Source organism: Homo sapiens, chromosome 8, assembly GCF_000001405.40.
Source record: "Homo sapiens chromosome 8, GRCh38.p14 Primary Assembly".
In the NCBI taxonomy this organism is placed as follows: domain Eukaryota; kingdom Metazoa; phylum Chordata; class Mammalia; order Primates; family Hominidae; genus Homo; species Homo sapiens.
Window position 1 is genome coordinate 143,120,896 of NC_000008.11, and position 26,422 is coordinate 143,147,317.

At 53.7% G+C, this 26,422-nt stretch overlaps 2 annotated features.

Annotated features, from left to right (window-relative positions):
- Window positions 5,999-6,558: an enhancer, noted in NCBI's record as "H3K4me1 hESC enhancer chr8:144208311-144208870 (GRCh37/hg19 assembly coordinates)". NCBI's record gives its function as "activates a minimal SCP1, AML or CMV promoter by ChIP-STARR-seq in primed H9 embryonic stem cells {active_cell/tissue: H9 hESC(primed)}" and the evidence as "EXISTENCE:reporter gene assay evidence [ECO:0000049][PMID:30033119]".
- Window positions 19,600-20,338: an enhancer, noted in NCBI's record as "H3K4me1 hESC enhancer chr8:144221912-144222650 (GRCh37/hg19 assembly coordinates)". NCBI's record gives its function as "activates a minimal SCP1, AML or CMV promoter by ChIP-STARR-seq in primed H9 embryonic stem cells {active_cell/tissue: H9 hESC(primed)}" and the evidence as "EXISTENCE:reporter gene assay evidence [ECO:0000049][PMID:30033119]".

Below are 26,422 nucleotides of genomic sequence, written 5' to 3' on the forward strand. Positions count from 1 at the left end.
GTGGACTGGGCGGCTTAAACAACAGACATTTATTTTTCACAGTTCTTAGGACTGGAAGTTCAAGATCACGGTGCAGGCAGATCCCGTGTCTGGTGAGGGTCCCCTTCCTGGTTTGCAAACGGCCACCTTCTTGTAGCCTCACTTGGCAGAGAACAGAAAGAGGAAGCAAATCTCTCAAGCCTCTTCTAATAAGGCGCCAGTCTCACCAATGAGAGTTTCACACCCTCATGACCTCATCACCTCCCAAAGACCCAGCTCCGAACATCACCACATCAGGATTTCAACATGGGGAACTGGGAGGATACAGCACGCAGTGCCTAACTCACTGGGATTACATTTTAATCCATAGTACCGCAGAAGTATATTTATAATTTACTAGTACAAATGCATGGTTACTTATCTGTTGTTTTTTTTTTTTTTTTTTTTTTTTGGTCTTGTTCTGTCGCCCAGGCTGGAGTGCAGTGGTACTATCTCAGCTCACTGCAACCCCCACCTCCCGGGTTCAAGTGATTCTCCTGCCTCAGCCTCCTGAGTAGCTGGGAATATAGGCATGTGCCACCACACTGGGCTAATTTTTGTATTTTTAGTACAGACGGGGTTTCACCATGTTAGCCAGGATGGTCTTGATCTCCTGACCTCGTGATCCGCCCGCCTCAGCCTCCCAAAGTGCTGGGATTACAGACATAAGCCATCGCGCCTGTCTTACCTGCTTTTCTTACTGTTTGACTGGGGGTGGCGATTACAGTGTGGTCATGTGATAAACGTGGCATTTCGGAGGAATCTGGGCCATTAGAATGAGATGAAAGTGTTGAACGCGCAACTCAAGCTTCTGCAGCAAGCACCTGCCTGTGCTTGGTGTGAGATGATTAATGTGGCAGATGGGTGGGGAGGGGGAGAAAAACCGCCTGAGGGTGGGGAGGGGGAGAAAACCCGCCTGAGAGGCACCCCTGGAACCCCTGGATCCTCTCCCTTTTGCCAGATGTGAAGTTGAAACACTAAGTTGTGTTCAAGAGCCAAGTGGAGCCACCCGACAGTCCCAGAGCCCAGCAACCTGGCACAGGGCCTGGGGCATGGCTGCCGCGCTCAGGCAGCTGTACCCCGCCTTGCATCCGCCCAGGATGCCTTGCACACCCCGAGACCCGGCTGCTTCTATCTTCCTGGCTGTGTCATCGCACAGCTGAAAGGAGTCTGGACCAGACAGCTCTGTCCGCAGTCAGAACTGAGGGTAAGCGCGGTCCTGTGCACAAGTCAGCAAACCGGAGAGCCAGGGTGCCAGGCACTGACCCCATTCTATAGCCATAGAATCAAGGCTCACGGAGCCCAATCAACAAACGCTCCAAGAGTCCAGGAAAAGGTCGAGGGAAAGAAATAAAGGTGTGACCGGGAGAAGAGTGGGGAAGGAGCCGACTCAAGGCTGAGTCCCGCAGCCCCGTGAGGGCGGAGTGGAGGTTACGGGGCGGGAGCGGGACGGGAATCTGAGCTCCCAGCAGCCGAGCCGAGAGGAAACCCCTGCTCCTGCCCATGAGCCCAGCAGAGCACATGCCCTGGATGTCGAGACGCGGTCCACAGAGAGATGGGCTCCTGTGACTGTCCTCGGATAGGCCTCTGGACGCCACGCCCTAGTGCAGCTCAGTGAAAGGAGCTCCATGGCGTTTTCTCACACGATTCTATTGCAGCTGACGGTAGTGAGGTCACGGCACGCACCTTGCTGATGACCGGGGTTCAGCCAGACGTAACTCTGGGAAAACAGACTGAGCTCAGCCCTTTCAGCCAGCGGCCATTCAGCTTTTCTGACCATGGCCCATATCAACAAACACAATATGGTATGTGAGCGTATACATGTGCACAAACACGCAAATGCACCCTCACACAGGTACACATGCACGCCCTCACACGTGTACACACACCCTCACACGTGTATACACCCATACACGTATACACCCCACACACCCACATATATGTATACACACCTTCACACATGTAACACACCTTCACACACCCCACACGTGCACACACCCACACATACACACCCTCACACGTAACACACCCTCACACACGTAACACACCCTCACACACGTAACACACACCCTCACACATGAACACCCCCACACACGTGCACACCCCCACGCACGTGCACACACCCTCACACACGTAACACCCTCACACATGTGCACACATCACATATATACACACACCCTCACACATGTAACATGCCCTTACATGTAACACGCTCACACATGCACACACCCACGCATGTATGCACATCCACACGTACACACCACACATGTACCCACACATTACACATACACCCACACATGTACACACACCCTCACACATACACATACCTCCACACATGTACACACACCCTCACACGTGCATACATGCACCCTCAAATGTATGCACCCCACACATGTATACACACCCCCACACATGTATACACACCCCCACACGTAGCACACACCCTCACACATGTACACACGTGTGCACACACCCTCACACGTACACTCATACACACACGCACCCTCACACACATGTACACACCCCCACACATGTATACCCTTAAACGTACACCTTCACACATGTATACACTCACATGTACACACCTCACACATGTACACATCCTCACATGTACGCACACACCCTCACATGTACACAAACCCCCACACACATACACCATGACACATGTAAACACACATACACCCACACATGTACACACTCACACATACACATGCACCCTCACACGTACACACATACCTTCACACATGTACACACAACCTCACACATGTACACGTGCACCCATAAACGTACACACCCATGCACACACCCACATACATGTGCACACACCCTCACATGTACACAACCCTCACATATGTACACACACGTACAAATACACCATGTACACTCACATGTATACACACTCACCCTTACACGTGTACACATGCACACCCTCACACGTGCACACACCCCCAAACATGTATGCATCCTCACATGTACATGCACACGCACACATGCATGCCCTCGTGTGTACACGTGCGCACACACACCCTTGAACACATATACATCTTCACACATGTACACACACCCTCACATGTACACACATGCACCCTCAAACGTACAGATCCTCACACATGTACACACACCCTCACACATGTACACACACCCTCACACATGTACACACCCTCACACATGTATACGTACGCACACCCCCTCAAACGTACACACCCTCACACATGTACATGCACACACATGCACACATGCATGCCCTCGCATGTACAGGCACACCCTAATACATCCTCACACATGTACGCACACAAACCCTCACACGTACACACACCCTCACATTTACACACTCAAACGTACACACATCCTCACACATGTACACACACCCTCGCACATGTATACATATGCACACCCTCACACGTACGCACACCCCCTCAAACATGCACACATACACGCACACACATGCCCTCACATGTACATGCACACACCATCAAACATGTACACATGCACACTCGTACACACACCCCCACACACACACTCACACACGTACACACACCCACATATGTACACACCCTCACACACATGTACACACACCCTCACACATGTACACACCCTCACACGTACACACATGCACCCTCACATGTACAGCCTCACACATGTACATGCACCCACACATGTAACACACCCTCACATGTAACACGTCACACGTACACATGCATCCTCACACACACACCCTCACACATGTACACACCCTCACACGTGCACACATGCACTCCCACATGTACCCCCCACCCCCCCACGTACACATACAGGTACACACCCCTCACACATGTATGCACACACCCACACGTACATTCACATACATGTGCACACACCTTCACATGTACACACAGACCCTCACACTGTATACATATGCATACCCACACGTACACACACCCTCACATATGTACATGCACACATACACATGCCCTCACATGTACACACACACCCTCAAATGTACACACATCCTCACACATGTATACACACGCACCCTCACATGTACACAGCCCTCACACATGTACACACCCTCAAACATGTACACACATCCTCATACACATGCACACCCTCACAAATGTACATGCACACGCATGCCCTCATATATGCACGAGGACACACCCTCAAACATGTACACACACACATCGGCACACATGCATACACATGCCCACACACTCATGTACACACATACACACCCTCACACATGTACATACACCCTCACACACACCCTGATAAATGTACACACACACCACACACCCTCACATATGTATACACACACCCTCACACATGCACACACGTGTACACACATGGAAAGTGTTACCATTTGCAACCCATCCATCCTCCCCTGGGGATGCTCTTGGAGAAAGAAATCAGACAAAAGAAAAGAATGTCCTTGTAAACACGCTAATGAGAGCTCCTGGAGGTGTCGACTGTGAGCACAGAAGAGCCTTCTGTTCAGGATTAAACACATCTGGGCTTATGGCACACGGCCCACTGGAAAATGTCAGTGCCTCTGGCAATTTCTAGAGTTTAAAGGGAAAAAGTTTCATAACGGAAAGAGCCCCCTTTGGGTAAGAGCTGCCCCTCCTGTACCACGGGGAGCTTCCTACCCTAAACCTTGATGCAGCGTGCCTCCATGTGTCAGGGACGGGGGTGGGGGTCGGCGAGTGGGCAGTCCCAGTGGTCCCCTGGCTTCCCCTGGCTCCCAGGCAAACGAGACCATCCCGCTCTGCGTGCTGTCTCCGGTGGGCACCACGAGCAGCATGGCTGTTTATTATCTAAGCTGAGGTTCTCTGAGGCAAGATAAGGGGGCGCGGGAGAAGCTTGCTGAGGACGAGGCTCCAGGTGGCTGTCAACCTGTCCCTGATACAAAACGCTGACAGCCTTGGGGCTGGCCACAGGGAGCACACCTTACCGAGGGGACGGAGAGGAAGCCGACCTGGGGCGGGGAGCTGGCCAAAGACCGGCACAAGGGAGGCGAGAGAAACAGCTCTTCCATGGCAGGTGCCACTGACACCCAGACAGAAACAAGGCCACTGGAAGAAGCAGCTGGGGCACAAGAAAGAAACCAGACCCGGTCCTCGGGTCAGTGCAGTCTCCTCTCTCCAGTGGCCAATTAAACAGATGTGACATTCATCCAAAAAGTAACTCAGCTGAGAAACCTGACTGGCTGCAAACCCATGCTGCGGGTGGAAGGGCATGGCAGGCGGCTGCGGAAACCCGAGGGTCCTCTGAGAAGAGCCAGGACATTTGGGGAGAGCGGCAGGCAAAGCCCGATGGCTCAGGATGGGCACAGTTTCCTAAATTATCAGTGCGAGGGGCGGGCACACCACTGATTCTAGATACCACTGCATGGAAGTGATGGTCAGGGCCAAGAACCAGTCCCCAAGACGCTGCAAGCTCTTGTGATCAAATGCTTCCAGGTGGGTCCATACGTCACTTGCTGCAGGTGGCAAAGGTGGGGGTTTTACCCTGAGAGGAGTGACTGCCCCCCACCAACCCACAAATGGCATCTTGCTTCCAAAGCTGTTGGGAAGTTACAAGTGCAGGTGACCCTAGGCTGGCTTTACGGTGAACAAGGGGACGCCTAATTTAATGCCATTGACACCAATGTTGCCACTAAACAGAAGCCCCTAAGACTGAAACTGTATAGGTTTTTGCAAAATTACATTCCTCATCCAGAAATCCTGTGATTCTAGTCACAGTGTCACTGGGGGAAAGACCTCGATGTGAAAGGGCCCTGCCCAGAAACAAGCTGGGACATGGCCCAGGCAGCCCACGGGGCCACTCAGGTGCTACTGGGAGGGCCCAGGTCTTGGTCAGAAAAGATTGGCTTTTGGCAGAAATGCAAATCACGTTTGGGGCCCAGGGGCTACCTGATGCATTTCTTTCATGTTGCCTGGGAGACCACCGTGAGCTGGCAGCCGTGCTGGGAAGATGCCCGTGCTGGGGCCCTCGCTGCACTACGAGCCACCACAACCCCACAGTGTGGGTCAGTGCCTGTTGACTGCCTGGCAGCTCCAGAGGGGTAGGAGTGCGAGGGCTCGGCTGGGCGGGGTCTCACAGACTGCAGTTGAGGTGTGACAGCTGGGCTCCTGGGTGGAGGCCCAGGGCTGTTCGGATGGATGGCAGACTCTTTTCCCGGCTGTAGAGCTGCATTCTCCGTCTCCTTGCTGGCGGTCAGCAGGACCTGGTCTCCACCGTTCAGGCTGCCATCTCGCACGGCCCCACAGCACTCTTCCCTGGCCTCTGACTCTTCTTCTGCTTTTAAAGGGCTGGCGTGATTCGACCAGGCCCACCTGCATCCACGGACCCTAAGGTCGGCTGACCTGGGACACACGGCACATCTGCAACGCCCCTTCCCGGCAGCACCCACGGGTATTGGAGGAGTGGTAGGGGATGGGGGAAGGAAGCTTGGGTGGGTGGGTCATTGGAACTCTTGTGCATGGAAGAGCGTTAGATGATCCCGACACCAGAAAAGTTGGCCACGTCCCAGGTGGCGTGAAGAAGCACTGGAGAAAGAGGGGCAACCCATGAAAGCCCCTTGGCGGGTTTAATGTCCAGCGGCAACAGTGAGGGGCCCAGCGGGGCATGGGTGACAGGGACCAGGTTACCAAGGGTCTGGGCGGGGAATGGCAGGGCATGTGAGGGGTATGGTGGGGAATGGCGGGGAATGGCGGGGCATGGGAGGGGCATGGGAGGGACATAGGAGGGACATAGGAGGGGCATGGCGGGGCATGGTAGGGCATGGCAGAGAATGGCGGGGAATGAGAGGGGAATGGTGGGGAATGGCGAAAAATGGCGGGGGAATGGGAGGGGCATGGAAGGGAATGGGAGGGAATGGGAGAGGCATGGCGGGGAATGGCGGGGCATGGGAGGGACATAGGAGGGGCATGGGAGGGACATAGGAGGGGCATGGCGGGGAATGGCAGGGAACGAGAGGGGAATGGTGAGGAATGGCGGCAAATGGCGGGGGAATGGGAGGGGCATGGCGGGGAATGGCAGGGCATGGGAGGGACATAGGAGGGGCATGGTGGGGAATGGCAGGGAGTGGGCTGCACAGAGACCAGCTTGCTTTGCTGCCCAGAGGGCTGTAAAGCAGCCCCCGCGGACCTCCTGGCCTGGCCCCTGCATCAGGCGGTCCCCCAGCCGGCAGAGCAGGCTGCCTGGCCCGGACTCTTCCCATGCCGGGGGCCCTTCTGCTGTTTGTAAATCAGCTTCCCCACGCCACACAGGTGGAGGCAGGACAGGCAACCTCCCTAATGCGGGAGCTGAAAAGGAGTGAAAAAGGAGTCAGGCCCCTGCTCTGGGGGCGTTTAGGGATTTGCCAACTCGGGCTGGACAACGGCCCCGCAGGATGCCAGGCAAATGCACCCCAGAGAACTGGACAATTGGAAAATCCCCAGGGTGCCCTCAGGAATGGGAATTCCTGCCAAAAACTCCTGTTGCCAGCTCAGAAGGGGTTGAATGGTAGCGCCTTGGTCAGATCCCAGAATGCGCCCAGCAGGTTAGGGAAGGAGCCAGCAGGAGGGAGCATGGGGTCCCCTTGTGCCCAGCGCAACAACTAGCATGAGAAGAAACCACATCCACCGCTGACCAGAAAGCATTTGCAAATAGCTTTGGGTGGCACCCCCGAAGGACAAGGCCTGGCCACAGCAGGCAAGGGGGACCCTGGGTGCCTATGGCCTATCAGGAGGCCCGGAACCAAGGGAGCACTCAGGACACACCAAGCAATACAGGACACACCAAGGAGCTCTTCCCATCCCAACACAGCCACAGGCACTCTTGCACCAGATGTGGGCAGGGCCTTGTTTCCTGCACACCAAGCAGTGCTGCAGGACACTGTCTGAGCATCCTACGGTTTAAGTCATTTCCCACCGCATCCGCCTGGAGGTAGCGTCAGATCCCACAGATCGAGGGCTCAGTCCCGTGCAAGGGGCCCCACTTCTGATGCCAGTTGCAAGCCCCGGGTGTGGCTTCTGACGGAACTGCCATGAATCAGGGTTCCCACAACCCCCTCCTCCGGTTTGATGAATTGCTGGAGTGGTTCACAGGACTCAGGGACACGCCGCCCTGCGTTTACCCATTTATGACACAGGCTGTGACGAAGGTGCGGAGGCACGGGGGGTGGAGGAGACAGGCACGTACATGTGCAGCTTCCAGACAGCCCCAGGCCTCCACCCAACATCCGCGCATTGGAGATGGGAAGTTCCTTGGGTTTTGCAAGGCACAGGGGAGAATGGCAGAGCTCCTGTGCCCTCCTGGGCGCCGTCCTCCAGGCACCTGCGTGCGTCCAACTGTTGAAAGCTCCTTTTGGGTTTTTATGGAAGCTTCATTACATATACATGATTGATTGCATCGTTGGCTATTGATGATCAACCCAAACTTCATCACACTCACTACAAAAGAGACTCTTGTCACTCCAGAGATTCCAGGAAGGAGCTAAGCTGTATCTCACGCTCTCACGACACTCTATTCTGGACTTGGCTTATTTGTAACAGAAGCAACCTTGGGAACAGCATGAGGTGTTTAGAATGGTGAGTCCTCTGTCAATTTCAGCCGACTTGGACCTACTTCTTCTGATCCAGGTACCCACTCTTGCTGGCACCAGGACACTGAGACGGTCCAGGAAACACGGCAAGCATACGTGTGCACCACACTGCTCGTCCCGTCCAGCTGTGGCCATGCTGAAAATTGCAATGGGCCACTGGAAGACAGGTTATTCAGGCAGGTGTGAGAAACGTGACCAGTTGGTGGAGTCGCTTAACTGGGGTGTCTTCAGACTGAGCCTGAGGGGAAGGCAGGCAGGCCGCTCACAGGCTTCAGGGCTGGGGGAAGGAGGAGGGCGTGTGGGGGGTGCAATTGGACCCTCTGTACCTTCCCCACCTCCCAAAGGTTTCTCTTCTTCTGCCTGAGCCAGTGGTCCCAGGACCCCATGCCCAAGCACTAAAGTGGGCGGCACAGGCTCCAGAAGGGACATTAGACTGGTCATGACTGGACCCCATGGCGGGACTTCCTGCAAATGTGGCCAGCAGGAGGGCTGCCCCGTGGCTCCTCACCGGCGAGTCCTGTGGCAGCAGCAGGCCGAGACACAGCACCACAGGGCTGTGCCGGGTGCCTGCTCGAAGGCAGAGCTGCAGTGGGGGATCCAACAGGAACCGTGGAAATGGGGGGCTCCTGCAGGCAGGGGGATACCCACAGGGTCCCGTGATCCTGCAGGGGTGCAAGTGGCTCCTTCCGTGATGGCCCTAGAGCAAGAGGGTAATACTCTTGCCACCTCTCCCAGACCTGGGGCCAAGTAAAGGCTGATGATAAAGAAGCCAGAGGTGCTTTTCCCAGAGATGGGAATCGGATTCCTGCTGACTTCACCTGAGTAATTCAGAGCACGAGGGAAGCTGCACCTCCAGGGGCGCTCCTGACAGGTAACCCACTGGAGCTGCTATTCCGCAGCAGAGGCACCAGCCAGAAAGATCCGAAAGAAACATTTTCAAAAGTGGACCAAGATGGCTGCAGTTTGGCCACACGGGTAGTAGGAGGCAGGCCTGGCCTATGAGGCTGGAATCTGCATTGTCTCACTGACGTGTCCTGGTCACTGCCGTGCCTGTCAGATGAGGCAGGACAGAACAGTCGCCCCTGCAGACCCTGAGGCTCCAGTAGGTGCCAGCTTTCCACCCTGTGTGCCAGCCACGTGTCCACTCCACCTGTGTACAAGGCACCGAGGCCAGGCAGGACTGCGAGGTCCCCCTGAGCGCACTGCCCCTCTCAGGCTGTGGAACCACCCCTCCTGCCTCCTCAGCCGATGGAACCTGTGTTCCGGGTTGCCACTCACTCTTGGCTCAGCATAAAACGCACTTTGGCTTCTCTAAGTCTGCAGTGCCCATGAGTGCGGCCTCCAGCCGTCGCTGCCGTCTGCCCCTCTCGGAGGACAGATGAGAACAGTGCAGGGATCCCAGGGTGGGGAATGCCCAGGAGCCTGGCCTCCACTCTGGGGTGACCCCGGACCTGCCAGGCGCTGCCTGCATGTGGAGGGGGCATTGCTGCCTCCTCCCTGCCTCAGAGCTTGATCTGCGAGTCCGAACGTGCCAAGTGTGAACCAGCCCCAGCGATCTCCAGGCAGAAACAGATGCATTGGTCTCATGAGGGTTGGCCCCACCCTGCTGAAGGTTTGGGGAGATTTTAGAATTTGGTCTTGGGGCCCTGAGTGCGGCAGAAACAGTGTCCCTGCACGCTCATCATGAAGAGCAGGAGGCTTGTTATCCTGAGTAGGGACAGCAGAGGGCGACCTCTTCCAGGATCCAGACACAGGCCCGGGAGGCTGTAAAGGCCACTCATACGGGAATCGATGGAAATCGGACACCCGTCCCCAGCCCTGGGCCAGTGTGCATCCTTCCTCACCCAGGAGGGGCTACTGAACACTCTCATCCCTGGCATCTGATGCTGTAGAGGTCAGAGGCCAGGTCGGGGCCGGGCAGTAGCCTGAGTCCTGAGGGAGCAGTGCTGACAACGGCCCCTCAACCCATCGCTGTTCTCCCGCAGCCTGAGTGCCACCAATGTAAAAGGACAGCTGTGTGGGCCGCATGTGCCCGGAATGAGGCCCCCTGCTCCCTCAGCCGCGTTCTCATGGGTGAACAAAGACCGTGATGGAACCCACCTGAGCCCCTGAGCCGGCTGGACTGGATTATCCTCCCTATGCGTGGATAATCAGAGCCGGGATTATTCCCCTTAAATATTCCTCTTCCCACTGGCAGTTCTGATTCTCTTTGGACAACTGTTAGGAAACTGAAAAACCTAACAGTGTGTCCTCCTTTCCTGGCCAAGGAAGAAACCACCGTTTAGCTTCTTCATGCCCCAGCCAAAGAGCAGGCGATGGAGGCCCAGAAAACCAACCCCACGCTGTCTGACACAGCTCTCGAGACCCGGTCATCTAAGGCAGCTGTTTGCAAGGCTCTCCTGGGCTGCACCTGCCACCACTTCTCACAACCCACCTTAGCTCCAGTCTGCAGAGCCCCTGCGAAGGCTGAGTTAGAGAACGCTGAGCCCCTGCTGCTAGCAGACACACAGGGTTAGGGTCCCGCAAGCCTCTGGCTCCGTTTTCATCAGCCGATCAATATATCATCTCATTCTCTGTGTTTCTATTTAAAGATCCCTTACTGAATGCACGTGGTGGCTTCATTAACATTGCAATCGGTGCCAAGCACCGTAAGCCTGGACAAAGCTTCTCTGACCCAGGCATTCCTTGCCTAGGACGTGAGGCAGCACCTCGGGACAATGCTTGGGGACATTGCAAACAGCAAAGTCACCCACAAAAAGCACAAAAATGCAAAAAAAAAAAAAATGGCACCAGATAGACCACGAAAAGGGCTCTTGATTGCAGCACAAGCTGGAGCAAGAAGGCCGCCCTGCGCAACCTCAGCCAAGAACGCACTCCGGTGACTCAGAATTGTCGCCGCTCCGTGCAAGTAAGTGTTTGGGGATTACAGCTTCTTTTTTTTTTTGAGACGGAGTCTAGCTCTGTCGCCCAGGCTGGAGTACAGCCGTGTGGTCTTGGCTCACTGCAACCTCCACCTCCCATGTTCGAGCGATTCTCCTGCTTCAGCCTCCCAAGTAACCACCACGCCCAGCTAATTTTGTATTTTTAAAGTCACGGGGTTTCACCATATTGGTCAGGCTGGTCTTGAACTCCTGACCTCGTGATCAGCCCACCTCGGCCTCCCAAAGTGCTGGATTTACAGGTGTGAGCCACCGCACCTGGCCTTACAGCTACATTTTAGCAAGTAGAAGAATCGCATACAGACTCCAGGAATGACAAGGATGGACTGTTAAGGAAATCTCAGTGGGGCACAGCACAGCGGAACCCTGGCACTTCCAAGAGTGCTTTTCAGGACACCAGCCAGTCCTTGCACACCAAGGTCACGAAGATAATTAACATTTGGAATAATTAATATCTAGAAAATGATTAGGAGCATTTACCAACATTAGTCTTAATATTTTTTACTATTTAACCCATCTCCCTTCTTTCCGGACACACTCAGCCACACCAGCTGTCCCTTGTTGAGACTTCTCCTGGATCAGGATGCCGAGCGTCTATCTCGTGTCCATTATAATTTTACAAAACGCACCTGTGCAGCCCTCCCCAGCCCCACCGTCGCCTGGCATCAGCACCCAGGGTCTCCAGCCCACTCCACTCTTCAGACTGGATCCGCAGTGACCTTTCTGAAATACAGATCAGGTCATGCCACTGATTAAAACCCTTCAATGGCTTCCCCAGTGCTTCCATTAGTCACCAAACAGTCCAGCCGCCCTGCAAAGCAGCCAGCACTGGGGACCCCTGTGGCTCTGTGCTCCAAACACCCTCTGCCTCCAGTCCAGCTGCAGCCGCAGAGCCGTATCCTCCAGCGCTGCTCCTGCACTGACCCTTCCTCAGAGGGGAGGACGCTTCGGGCAGCCACCTCCCAATCCCGCACTATTGCTTTGCCTCCTACCTGCCCCTGCGGCACTCACTGGCCTGGCCCTCAGGACACCCAGAGGAGCTTCCAGCCCGCAGTTTCAGTGGTGCCCAGCAAACAGCTCCTAGTGGCCTCTGAGGGCCTTGCCAGCGTGGACAGCTCCTTGCCAGTGGGACGGTTCCTTGCCAGTGTGGACGGCTCCTGCTGCAGCTCCCAAAGGGCGCTCTCCTGCCAGCCTTGGCTGAGGCGCTGCTGCTTCAGTAGGGTCTGAAGCTCAGCCTTGATGAGGGACCTCCCCCAAACACATTTGGCTCCGCCCAGCCCTCAAGCTGTGGTTGCTTTTGGGCCCGCCCCTCCTGCCTCTTAGAGGTCTCTGTGCCCCTTCACAGCTGTTCCCAATATCCAGCCCCTACTACCTGTTAATAACCCCAGTAAACTTCCCCTGCCTGCTGGCTGTGTGATTTCTGTCTCCTGGTGACCCTGAGGGAGGCACAGCCCTGTGCGGTCTGGTCTCCATCCTCCCACACGTCCTGCCTGTCTGGGCTCCAGCCACACGGGCCCCTGTCCCGCTCCGGTGGGTAATATGGTAGAGTTCAGACCAAAATGTCAGTCACATTAACACAAATAAGTGGGCTTCACTCACCTGTTAAAAACATTTTTAGGGCCAGGTGCGGTGGCTCACGCCTGTAATCCCAGAACTTTGGGAGGCTGAGGCGGGCGGATCACGAGGTCAGGAGTTTGAGACCATCCTGGCTAACATGGTAAAACCTCATCTTTACTAAAAATACAAAAAATTAGCCGGGCGTGGTGGTGGGCGCCTGTTGTCCCAGCTACTCAGGAGGCTGAGGCAGGAGAATGGCATGAACCTGGGAGGCGGAGCTTGCAGTGAGCCGAGATCGCGCCACTGCACTCCAGCCTGGGCAACAGAGCGAGACTCCGTCTCAAAAAAAAAAAAAAAGAAAAACATTTTTAGTTTGGGTCATAAAACAAGACCAACTATATGCCAAATAAAAGATATACACCTAAAAAATGATTCTGACAGGCCAAAACTAAAAATGTGGGCAAATGGACAATAAGAAAGCCAGAGTCATGACAAAATAAAACATTAAATGCGACAACAAATATTTTAATGCAAAAATCCGCAATTCATAATGTAAAAATAACAGTTATGACTATGCACCAAATAATAAAGCAGCCACTTTTATAAAGCAGACACTCCGGAGACAGAAGGAGAAATAAATACAAAAACACTAGTCATGAGAGACTTTAACATAGCACTGTTAGCATTCTATCAGTAAGGCCAAGCGGACGAAGAGTAGCTGAGGGCTTAGAAGACCTGTGTATCATACAGACATCAAAGATAAATGCAATCCTAGGCCGGGCGCGGTGGCTCACGCCTGTAATCCCAACACTTTGGGAGGCCGAGGTGGGTGGATCACTTGAGGTCAGGAGTTCAAGACCAGCCTGGCAAACATGGTGAAACCCCATCTCTACTAAAATAAAAATACAAAAATTAGCCGGGCATGGTGGCACACACCTGTAATCTCAGCTACTCAGGAGGCTGAGGCACGAGAATCGCTTGAACCTGGGAGACAGAGATTGCAGTGAGCCGAGATCGGGCCACTGCACTCCAGCCTGGGTGATAGACAGAGACTCAGTCTCAAAAAAAAAAAAAAAAAAAGGTAAATGCATCAAAAACACACTTTCTCACGTGCACAGAAAACACAGACTGTCGCTGACGCGGGATAGGTAAGGTCAGGAGGCCACATTGACTTGTCCCTTGTGTGAAGCCTCTTGGGCTCTCCGTCCCTCACCCCTTGTGCTCAGCACCCAGCTCTCTTGCAAGGTCAAGAGCCCTGCCAGACACCAGCAGATGGCCAGATGCTTACAAGTTCCTGATACCTGATATGGCAGGAAAGAGAACAAAAGCCCCTTATTCCTGATGTAGCTTCGCCAGTCTCCAGCCAATCAGCACCAGAAGCCCATGAAGCCATCAGCGACACATTCCTGCCTCAGGGGTCCTGCACGCACAGCTAGGCTCAAGGTGTACCTCGTATTCGGTTGATGCAAAAGTAACTGTGGGTTTTGCCATTGAAAGTAATAGACAAAACAGCAATTACTTTCGCACCAACCTCATAGTAACCCTTCTCTCGTTTTTGTAGTAAAAAGCACACCCTGGATGGAGATGTTAAACGCTAGTGATCCATGTGATGCGTTCACCAGCCGCAGGTCCACCTTTGCACACCTGACTCACCAGGATTGTATGTACAGCTCCCACAAAGGGAATATCCCCCTCAAGACACCAGGGACTGCTCTCTCACTGAGCAGCCACTCTGTCTCTCAGGGTGGACTTTTGCTCTGCAATAAACTCTTGGCTGGGCATGGTGGCTCATGCCTGTAATCCCAGCACTTTGGGAGGCCGAGGCTGGCGGATGACCTGAGGTCGGGAGTTCGAGACCAGCCTGACCAACATGGAGAAACCCCATCTCTATTAAAAATACAAAATTAGCCAGACGTGGTAGCGCATGCCTGTAATCCCAGCTACTCAGGAGGCTGAGGCAGGAGAATCACTTGAACCCAGGAGGTGGAGGTTGTGGTGAGCCAAGATCGTGCCATTGCATTCCAGCCTGGGCAACAAGAGCAAAGCTCCATCTCAAAAAAAAGAAAAAAAAAAAAGAAAGAAAAAAACCTCCTTTGCCTGCTGTTTCTGTGGACTCGATCTCAAATTCTTTTGTGCAGCGAAGTTGGGAACCTGACCCGGCCACCCACAGGCAGCATCGGCACAGAAGGTCACAAAGAAGACACCAGGAAACCCCATAAGCGAGAAACTGGAAACCGCGCACTCTGGTCACGATGAAAAGATAATGAGAATTTATCAACAGTACTATTGTAAAGGGCCCTTCCACCCGGAAGTTTAAAAACAACTCTTGGGTGAAAGGAGAAGTCCAAACTGAAATTACAGAATGTCTTTTGAAAGTGTGATTGTAATAAAAACTTGTGGTTGCTGCCTGCTTTGCTGACGGTGGCTCATCCCCTGTGGCCAATCTGAGCTCGCCCTGGTGGGTGTGCACGGGCCTGACGCCCCCGGCTCTGCACCGCCCGCCTACCTGGGCCAGCCCTGGTGGGTGTGCACAGGCCTGATGCCCCCAGCTCTGCACCGCCTGCCCGGCCCCTGCACTGCTGCTTCCTGCCCTGCAGTTGCCTCTGACCCCGCAGCTCTGTTAGCCTTCGTCCATAAAGTCACACGGCACCCCTCAGAGAGGCTGTGGCTGACCACACCAGAGGGGTAGCCTCAGTCCTTACCATGAGGGCTATTCTTTCTGTCCTTTTCTTTCTTCTTTTTTCTTTTTTTTTTTGAGATGGAGTTTCAATCTTGTTGCCCAGGCTGGAGTGTAGTGGTGTGATCTCAGCTCACTGCAACCTCCGCCTCCCAGGTTCAAGCAGTTCTTGCGCCGCAGCCTCCCAAGTAGCTGGGATCACAGGCACCTGCCACCACACCCGGCTAATTTTTTTATTATTATTTTTAGTAGCGATGGGGATTCACCATGTTTGCCAGGCTGATCTCAAACTCCTGACCTCAGGTGATCCACGTGCCTTGGCCTCCCAAAGTACTGGGATTACAGGTGTGAGCCACTGCGCCCGGCCTATTCTTTCTTTTATAGCATGTATTGCTTTTTAAAATTGTGGTAAAATACACATAACATAGAATTTACCATTTGAACCATTTGTTAAGTGTACAGTTCAGTGGCCTTAAGCACCTTCGCACTGTTGCGCGGCCATCACCACCATCATCTCCAGCTCTCTTCACCTTCCCACACTGAAACTGTCCCCATCAAACACTCATCCCTACGTCTCACTCCCCAGCCCCAGCAGACACCATTCTACTTTCCATCTCTATCGATTTGACTACTTGGCTGGGGCGCGGTGGCTCATGCTCGTAATCCCTGCACTTCGGGAGGCCAAGGCGAGAGGATCACATGAGTCCAGGAGTCCCAGACCAGCCTGGGCAACATGGCCAGACCCCGTCCCTACAAAAACTACAAAAATTATCCAGGCATGGTGGTAACTGCCTGTAGTCCCAGCTACTCAGGTGGCTGAGGTGGGAGGATCACCTGAGCCCAGGAGGTTGAGGCTGCAGTGAGCTGTGATTGCGCCACTGCACTCCAGCCTGGGCAACTGGGCAAGACCTTGTCTCAAAAAAAAAAAAAAAAGATCTGACTACTCTAGAGACTCCTTAAGGTGCATCCCTGTTGTAGCAGGTGTCAGAATGTCCTTCCTTGTTAAGGCTAAACAGTGTCCCATTGAATATATATTTCATGTTTCATGCATTCATCTGTCAGTGGGCACTGAGTCGCTTCCTTCCACCTCTTGGCTGTTATGAACAATGCTGCTATGACCATGGAGGTACAAAAAGCATGTATTGCCTTATTTTTTTAAGACAGGGTCTCACTCTGTTTTCCAGACTGGAGTGTGATCTCGACTCACTGCAGCCTTGACCTCCCCAGCTCAAGCAATCCTCCCCACTGAGTAGCTGGGACTACAGGTGGCGCCACCACACCCAGCTAATTTTTCTATTTTTTATGGAGATGGGGGTCTCACTGTTTTGCCCAGGCTGGTCTTACACTCCTGAGCTCAAGGGGTCCTCCCACCTTACCTCCCAGAGTGTTGAGATGACAGGCATCAGCCACCGCACCTGGCCCATGGATTAATTTTTAAATTACCTCTTTATATGTTTAAATACTCTATATGTATCTCCTAGCAACCCCCCAGAGTGAAATCAATGGGGGTGAAGCCCTGGTCTCCTGTTTGCCCATGATATGATGCACGTGATGTGACATCATGTGACATGATAGCCTGTGATACGATAGCCCATATGATGGCCCGTGATATGACAGCACATGACATGATAGCCCATGATATGATAGCCTGTGATATGAGAGCACATGACATGATAGCTCATGATATGATAGCCTGTGATATGAGAGCACATGACATGATAGCCCATGATATGATAGCCTGTGATATGAGGACCCTTGATATGATACATGTGTCCCATGGCGGGCATTCTCCATATTGTTTTCAGAGGTGGCTCAGCGGCTCCTCTCATATCCCTTCATGATGTGACTTAGTCAGTGCTCCTGACCCTTGGTGGAACCTCTGTCCTCTTCCCCATGAAATTAACCAGCCCCGTGGGCTTTGACCACTGAATAGGAAAGGATGCAATGCCGATTCCAGGCCAATTCTAAGTGGCCTGGCAGGCTTTGCTCTTGCTCTCTTGGGAGTGCTCGGTCAAAAGAAGTCCAGGCTGCCCTGCAGTTCTCCACAGGGAGAGATTTTGTCCCCAGAGGACATCTGGAGGCATATTTAGTTGTCACACTGGGTGGGGGGATGCTACTGCTGTCCAGCAGGTGGAGGCCAGGGGTGCTACTAAACCCCCTTCAGTGCACAGGGCAGCCCACAGCAGAGAACAATCCGGCCCAGCACCAACAGCTCGTAGTTAAGAAGCCCCACGCTAAAGACTGAGTGGACAGAGAGGCCCTGAGATAAAGGGCCACGGAGGAGACAGAGGCCCAGCCCTCCAGCCAGGGTGCCCCCAGTCCAAACTGCACCTGCATGAGTGACCCTGGCTGGTACCACCTGCAGCAGAAATGAGCCACCCTGGCTGAGCCCAGCTCAATCAACCTGCAGAATTGTGAGAAATGATAAGACAGTCATTTTAAAGTCACCAAGCTTTAGAGTGGTTTGTTACCAAGAAATACATATCTGAAACGGCAATCAATAAATATCTGTTGAGTAAACGTAACCCTCCTGCAGTCGCTAATTCAGAACCATTCTTTGGTTCCACTGAACTGAAGCCCTTACGGCCAAGTGGAAGCCTCGCCCACAGCCTCGGGGAAGTCAGGTTCACAAAAACATTTTTTAATTGTTTCTTCTTTGAGACAGAGTCTCGCTGTATTGCCCAGGCTGGGGTGCAGTGGTACAATCATAGCTCATTGCAGCCCCAACCTCCAGGGCTCAAGCGATCCTCCTCCCTCAGCCTCCCATATGCTGTGACCACAGGTGCACACCACCATGCCCGGCTTATTTATGTATTTATTTATTTATCACAGAAACAGGTCTCACCATGTTGTCCAAGCTAGTCTCGAAATTCTGGGCTTAAGGGATCCTCCTGCCTTGGCCTCCCAAGTAGCTGGGACCACAGGAGCCCATCATCACGCCCAGATAATTTACTTATTTTTTTTGTAGAGACAGGGATCTCACTATGTTGCCCAGGCTGGTCTCAAACTCTGGGGCTCAAGGGATCCTCCTGCCTCATCCTCCTAGAGTGCTGGGATTACCGGCATGAGCCACCGCACCCGGCCCTAAAATCTTGATCCATATCAGTGTTTTACCCAAGCCAAAAACATTGCCAAACCCCTAAAACTAAACCTGGTTCTGGTCACTTCTTTCTCGAGCCACAAAAACCAAGGTTGATCATCAATGGCCTCTGAGTATTTCAAAAGCTTCTTATGGGAAGGTGGTATCTCGAGACACTGGCCTTGGAGTGAGGGGAGGGCCTTCCCCATCCCTGGGATGGGACAAGTTCACAGCAAACAGAGACACAACACCATCACCATCACTCCCCACAGGCCAGGGGAGGTGCAGCTGGCACGGCAGAGCCCGTGGGTCCCAAGGGCGACTTTCCTGAATTTTCCTGATATCTCCTGAGCCTCTGATTGCCCATTTCTTCTCTCTGTTGTTGTAGCGTTGAGAGAGAAGAGCAGAGCCTCTCCCATGGTGACCGCAAGCCAGGTTCCAGGTGGGCACTGAGTGTTGTTCAGCTCCCTTATGGGATAAATTTGTGATTTCACAGCACACTTTTTACTTGGAGCTGCAGCTTTGATTTGGCTAATAGGGTTAAAACAGTGGAAAGCATACACAACACAATTGTAAGTGATTTGGTTTTATTTATGTGATGCCAGCCTGTGCCTGTCAGCATCCTTTGATTTGAAAGCCTGTAATTCACATCATGGACTTCCTCTGCAGGCCATGAAAATTCAACTATTCAATTAACTAGATTTTTTTTAACTGACTGTTTATTGCTTCACTCTCACCAATAAGTAACGTTGGTGAGCTCGCTCACACGGGACCTCACGGGGAGGCAGAGAGGCCAGGATGGGGCAAGGGTTCCTGGCCAGCTCTAAAACGAACACGTCATTCAAGTAACACTTTCCCCAACTCAGCGGGGAAGGTGCCCCGTTCCCCGCTCCACAGCACTGTCGGGAAACTGCATTGTCTGCCCAGCAGAAGCGTAGCAACAGTCAGCAACGCCGCCTGCCAGTTCTAACACAGCGGGTCCACATTCTCCAGCCTCCGCAACACCTTCCCCTTTAGTGACTGTCGACATAAAAACATAGAGCAAAACATCGAAGTGAAAAACGGCTTTATTTGAGAGTAATATACAAGTAGGGTTGCCAATCGGGACATACATTCAGGTCAGGGGGTGCCCTCCGGTGTGGACGGAGAACAAAGGAGAGGTTTCCGGTTTTATGAAGGAAAGAGGAGGCGATGCAAGTTGTTTTAAAAGGAAGCTCATTGGCACCAGCAGCAACTTACAGGAGCGGACTGGCGAGCGTCAGGGGTTGCTGAGTGCCACTTGTGACCCTGGAGTGCGTTGCCCCGACGGGCGCACGCTGGGCCGTGAGACCGGGTGGAAGCGGCTAGCTGCTCTGCCACTGGCTGTCCTGTGTGACTCCTGGAGTGAGCTGCGGTGAGGGAACTTTTCTGGAGAGAGTTCCTGTTATCAGCCAAATCGTGGGTGAGACTCCCCCGTTCATGGCCTTCCCAGCTTTGCCAGGGTTTGACACGAGCAGCTCCATTTTTTTTTTTTTTTTTTTGAGACGGAGTCTTGCTCTGTCACCCAGGCTGGAGTAGGGTGGTGCGACCTCGGCTCACTGCAACCGCCGCGTCCCAAGCTCAAGCAATTCTCCTGCCTCAGCCTCCTGAGTAGCTGGGACTACAGGTGCCCGCCGCCACGCTCAGCTAATTTTTGTGTTTTTAGTAGAGACGGGGATTTTGCCATGTTGGCCAGGCTGGTCTGGAACTCCTGACTCCAGGCGATCCACCCACCTCAGCTTCCCAAAGTGCTGGGAGTACAGGCGTGAGGCACTGCGCCCCGCCTCCATTTTGCATCCGACAACGTTCACGCGACCAAAGAAATGAACTCGAGCCCCACCTTCTGCAGCCACAGGGACCTCGAATGCTGCGGAGCTTCCCACGGACACTTCGCTTCTCCCAGTGGCCGCCTGTCCACTTGGGTTCCAAATGCCTGCCCCAGTCCTCACCGCCCTCTGCCTGCTGCCCCGCCCTCTGGTCCCCACACAGCGCGCAGCCCTCCCTGGGCCCACTGGGCAGAGCACTTGGTGTGGCCAATTCTCAGGGTCAGGGTCAGGGTCAGGGTCAGGGATAGGCTTAGGGCTGCCTGATTCTCAGTGCAAAGGTGAGTAAAGCTCTGCAGGAGACTGAGCAGGGAGAGGCCAGGGTGAAGGGAAGGCAGGCGTGAGGGGACACAGCATTGGGGTGAGCAGGGTGCCCAAAGCTCACGTCCACCCAGAGCCTCAGAAGGACACCACTAAGGTAAGAATGGACATAAGACCATGCCAGATGGTCCAGGGGCCCCTAAATGTGATGACATGTGTCATTATGAGAGACAGTAGAGGAGAAGAGGAGAAGAGGAAGGCATGTGGAGGCAGAGGCAGAGACTGCAGAGACACGGCCACAGGAACGCCCGGACCCCTGAGGCTGGAAGAGGCGGCAAGAGCCTCCCCGGAGCCTTCACAGGAAGCATGACCCTCCCACCCCCGACACTTTGATTTCACACTGCTGGCCTCCAGGGCTGTGGGAGAATACGTTTCTGTTGTTTAATGCCACTGGCAGATGGCAACGTGCCACGGCAGACACGGGGGACCCACACAATGGGCAGCTCCTGCCGCTGGACCTCAGACCCTGTCCTTCCCTCCCCAGGAGGCCAGCTCACCCTCGCATGGGGGACCTCAGACCCTGTCCCTCCTCCTTCCCCAGGAGGTTCTCACACAGGACACCTGAGACCCTGTCCCTCCCTCCCCAGGAGGCCAGCTCGCCCTCACACAGGGGGACCTCAGACCCTGTCCCTCCCTCCCCAGGAGGCCAGCTCACCTTTGCACAGGGGGGACCTCAGACCCTGTCCCTCCCTCCCCAGGAGGCCAGCTCACCCTCGCACAGGGGGACCTCAGACCCTGTCCCTCCCTCCCCAGGAGGCCAGCTCACCCTCACACAGAGGGATCTCAAACCCTGTCCTTCCCTCCGCAGGAGGCCAGCTCGCCCTCGCACAGGGGGACCTCAGACCCTGTCCCTCCCTCCCCAGGAGGCCAGCTCACCCTCACACAGAGGGATCTCAGACCCTGTCCTTCCGCCTGCAGGAGGCCAGCTCGCCCTCACACAGGGGGACCTCAGACCCTGTCCCTCCCTCCGCAGGAGGCCAGCTCACCCTTGCATGGGGGACCTGAGACCCTGTCCCTCCTCCCTCCCCAGGAGGTTCTCACATGGGACACCTGAGACCCTGTCCCTCCCTCCCCAGAGGTCCTCACATGAGGGAACCTGAGACCCTGTCCGTCCTCCCTGGAAGGCCCTCACACCGGGGACCCTGCTGCCAAGGGCCCCTTCTCCCATCTCCAGCTCTGCAGGTCCAGGGGCCCTCAAAACCCTGCTCCTCTCCTCCCTGGGGAAATGTCCTTTCTTCTCACATTCCAAATCTCCCCCTTGCAGAAATACATTCATCCTGCTAACACTGACAGGCCCTAGAGTGGGAGGTCAGCCACGCCACTTAGGAAGCGGGGGCATGTCTCCCCGGAGACGGCATTTTCAGCACTGAACACAGCACTGGTCCCCCAGGACGATGACTCGTGTGTGTGGGGAGGACAGGCCTCACGGAAGGGGCTCTCGACGAAGGGGTCTCCTGAGGACCGTCCTGCAGCGGTGCCCAGAGCCAGAGAAGGGGACTGTCAGCTTCTGTTCCCAGGCCCCAGTTTTCCACAATGCTGAGGGGCCTGACACAAACACAACACTGAGGGCTTGGCTTTGTTTTGTCTTCATGTGAGAGTATTTCTCACAGCTCAGGTCATGATCTTTGGTCTGTGACACCCTCATCACTGGGTTTCTTCCTTCTTAGAAGAACATGTAAAAACCATCCATGAACTCTCACCAACATAAACCCTAGGCTTTCACTAGAATGTGCTGCCCTCTGTGGGGTGTCAGACCCCAAGCCTCTAGCCTCCCCTCCTAGGGTCCAAACACCAGACTCCAGAATCTTGAGTTGATCGTTCTTGGTCTCCTCTGATGGGTAGGTAGGTAGGCAGGTGGGTGGGCGGGCAGGCGGGCAGATGGATGGATGGATGGATGGATGGATGGATAGATAGATAGATAGATAGATAGATAGATAGATAGATAGATAGATAGAGCTGGATAGAGATTGAAGGAAATAATGCATACAGTGGTCCATTTCCAAGACAATGTGCCTTAAATCGCCTTAGGCCAGCAAACTACAGAAGAAACAGGATATACTAGGCCCCTGCTTGGACAGCCAGCACTTACTTGTTGCCCCCAACCCCCCTTAGTTGCCCTCACCCAAACCAAAGAAGTTTAGTCTAAGATGAAAGTTTACTAGCCTGCAAAATAGCTCGTTTTTTCTGTTCTTATCAGCCTGCCCAGCTACTTAGGTCATAGGTCAAATACTTGAAAGGCCCCCAAGCTGACTAGGATTGCAATGCATTGTGGGCCACAACAAAATGCAGCAAGACAACCCTAAAGAAAACACCTACAGCCCCTGCCCAACAACCAATAGGTGACGTCCAGGAAGACTGTGACCCCCATCATACTCAGCCTATGAGGAACCGGGGGAGAGACCTGCGCACTAGGGGATAAATTGCTTGTTGAAGTCGTGCTAGGTGTGCCTGTCCATCAGACACCCAACCTCGCAAGATCATCATTACAAGTCTCACTTTCACTGTTCTCCAAGTTTCTAAGTCCATTCTTTGGGTTGGGATGGGTAAGTTTGTTTCCCACAAGATGATAGAAAGATAGATAATAGATGGATAGATGATAGATAATAGATAGATAGAGACACACATAAATAGATGACAGAGAGATAGAAGAGATAAATAAGAGGGATAAAGAGACAGAAAGATGGAGATGTGACAGATGATGGAGAGGTAGATAAGTAGATGACTAAAGAGTTTCATGAAGTCCGTAAAGCTGTATTTTTCCTGTCGCATTTCTATAAAGCATTGTAAAGTGACTTATGTCAGAGCATTGGCTCGATGTGGTCTTCTGGGACCCCCTTGTGTACTTGGCTCAGCGCTGCCCGCACATGCCCACGCTGCTCCGTACTGTGGCTTGCTCACCGCCGTGTGCAATGTTCCTTTGCGTGTCACAGCGCTTCCTTAACCCATTCTCTGCTGAAGGCCATTTTGGCTGTTTCAAGACTTTTGGTCTTGTGAACAGTACAACTGTTCACAGTAACATTCACACCCACGTCTCCTGATATTCACATGCAAGACGTTTTTCTGGGTGATATGCCAGAAAGAGATTGCTCGGGTATGAGGGACACAAACATTCACCTCCACAGAATCCACCCCACTGTCTCCCCACATGGCTGTGCCAATTTATCTCCAAACTGCAGAGTCCACGAGATCCCAGCAGAGAACAGTCTCTGCCGCACGTGGCATCACCAGACTCTAAATGTTTGCTCATCTGCATCTGTGGCTGTCGCTCCCTGGGAGCTTCTGAAACAGAGCATTTCTCCTGTATGCAGGTCTGTGCTCTCGGCCCCGACATTGCCTGTCTTCTTTGTGACTCTGGGTGTCATTAATCTATTCTTGTACCAACCCTTTGTCGGGTACGTTTGTTGCATGTCTCTTTTTCCAGTTTGTGATTTAACCTTTTGTTTTAAGATACGTTTTAACAAATGAAAGTTTTTAATTTTCTTGTCAAATTTATCGATTTTTTGTTATGAGATTTTCTATTTGTGTCTTACTTAAGAAATTCTCCAAATCACACAGAAATTCATTTTTATTTTCTTGTAAAAGTTTTTCAGGGACCTGGTGAGGTGGCTCACGCCTGTAATCCCAGCACTTTGGGAGGCCAAGGTGGGAGGATCCCTTGAGGTCAAGAGTTCAAGACCAGCCTGGGCAACTAACTGTTCAGACCCCATCTCTACAGAAAGATTTTTTTTTTTCAATTAGCTGGACAAGGTGGCTCACATTTGTAATCTCAGCACTTTGGAAGGCTGAGAGGCAGGAGGATCACTTGAGCCCAGGAGTTCAAGACCAGCCTGGGCAACATAGGGACTCTCTATCTACAAAAAAAAAAAAAAAAAAAAAAAAAAAAAAAAAAATTTTAAATTAGCTGGACACTGTGGTGTGCACCTATGGTCCCAGCTACTTAGGAAGCTGAGGCAGGAAGATTGCTTGAACCTGGGAGGTCAAGGCTGCAGTGAGTCATGGTTGCGCCACTGCACTCCAGCCTGGGAGACAGAGCGAGACTCCATCTCAAAAAAAAAAAGAGGTTTTCAAGTTTTGCTCTTGACATTCACTCCCTTGATTGAGCCTGGATTTATTCTGTGGGTGTGGGTGGTGTGCGATGAGTACCCAATGGGACTTCCCATGCAGACAGCTCCCATCTCTGCTCTGTGTATTGAAGAGGGCCTCGCGACCCTGATCTGGCCCGCCCCTCCCGCACTGGTGAGCAGGCCTATTTCTGGGTGCGTTGTTCTGCCTCGCTGGGCAACTGTGGATCCCGGTAAGGACGCTGCACTCTCTTAACTGCCACAGCTTCAGCAGGACATGTGGTGTCTGCTGGCCCAGGTCTGCCTCCTCCATGAGCTTTTGCCTGGCTGTGATTCTCAGCCCCCTCCCCTTTCCAACTGCGGAACCTGGAGCAACTCAGCCCTCTCCCCACTTTGAAACGGGGACCACGTGGTGGCCTCCACCCAGGGCTGAGCTGCAGCTGGAGAGGAAACGCATGCTTGGTGATGGCCCCGCAAATGCCTCTGGTGTGTTCAGTCCCTAAATATTCCTTCTCTCACAAGAGTGTTTGGCCATCTGGGTTAAACACCAAGCTCCCTGAAGGCCCAGTGTCTGAAGGCACCAGGTCTCCGTTGCCAGAAACACACTGAGGCACAGAGGCTGGCAGCTGACAGCCTGCAGGGAAGCTGTCCCCAACATCCTCGAACTCTGGGATGCCTCACAAGGAGGCCCCTCCCCCCAGGAGTGAGGGAAGGAACCCACAGGCAGAGCCGGGCCAGCAGCTGGGACAGGGTGTAAGCCTGGCCCCCACACACACAGCTCGGAGGGCCACCCAGAGAAAGGTGCCTGCCCAGGAGAGGCAGGCAATGGCGGCCCCTCTAGCCTGAGCCCTGGACCACAGTTCTGGAGACATGGTGGGGGTTGAGGGGCTGAGGATGCACCCCGGCCCCGTGAAACCTGCACGACCCCCCACCTCCAGCAAGCCGAGATGGAGGCCCAGCTAGAGCAGCGAGCGGCCCCTCCAGAGGGCTCTGGAAGACACAGGGGACTTGAAGCCGTGGTAACCATGGCGACTACTGTGGGAACATCAGGGACATTTAACAAAGGACGACTTGGTTTTCTGATTTTAGCTCTGCTTCCCAGCCGTACCCTCCGATGCACAGCCCACCCCTTCTGAGACCTCCCCCAGATCAAGGTCACTTGTCCTGTGGTCCTGGGGGGCCCAGTGCAGAGGTTCCAATGCCCCCAGTGGCCACATGTGCTCAACCCCTCAGGTAGCAGACAAGGCCCAGCACCCAGGAGGGATTGGAGCAGGGACCCCAGGTAGACTTGGGGGAGATGGGTGTTTGGAGAGAAGGGGGATGAATGTGTTTGGAGAGAAGGGGGATGCATGAGTTTGGAGAG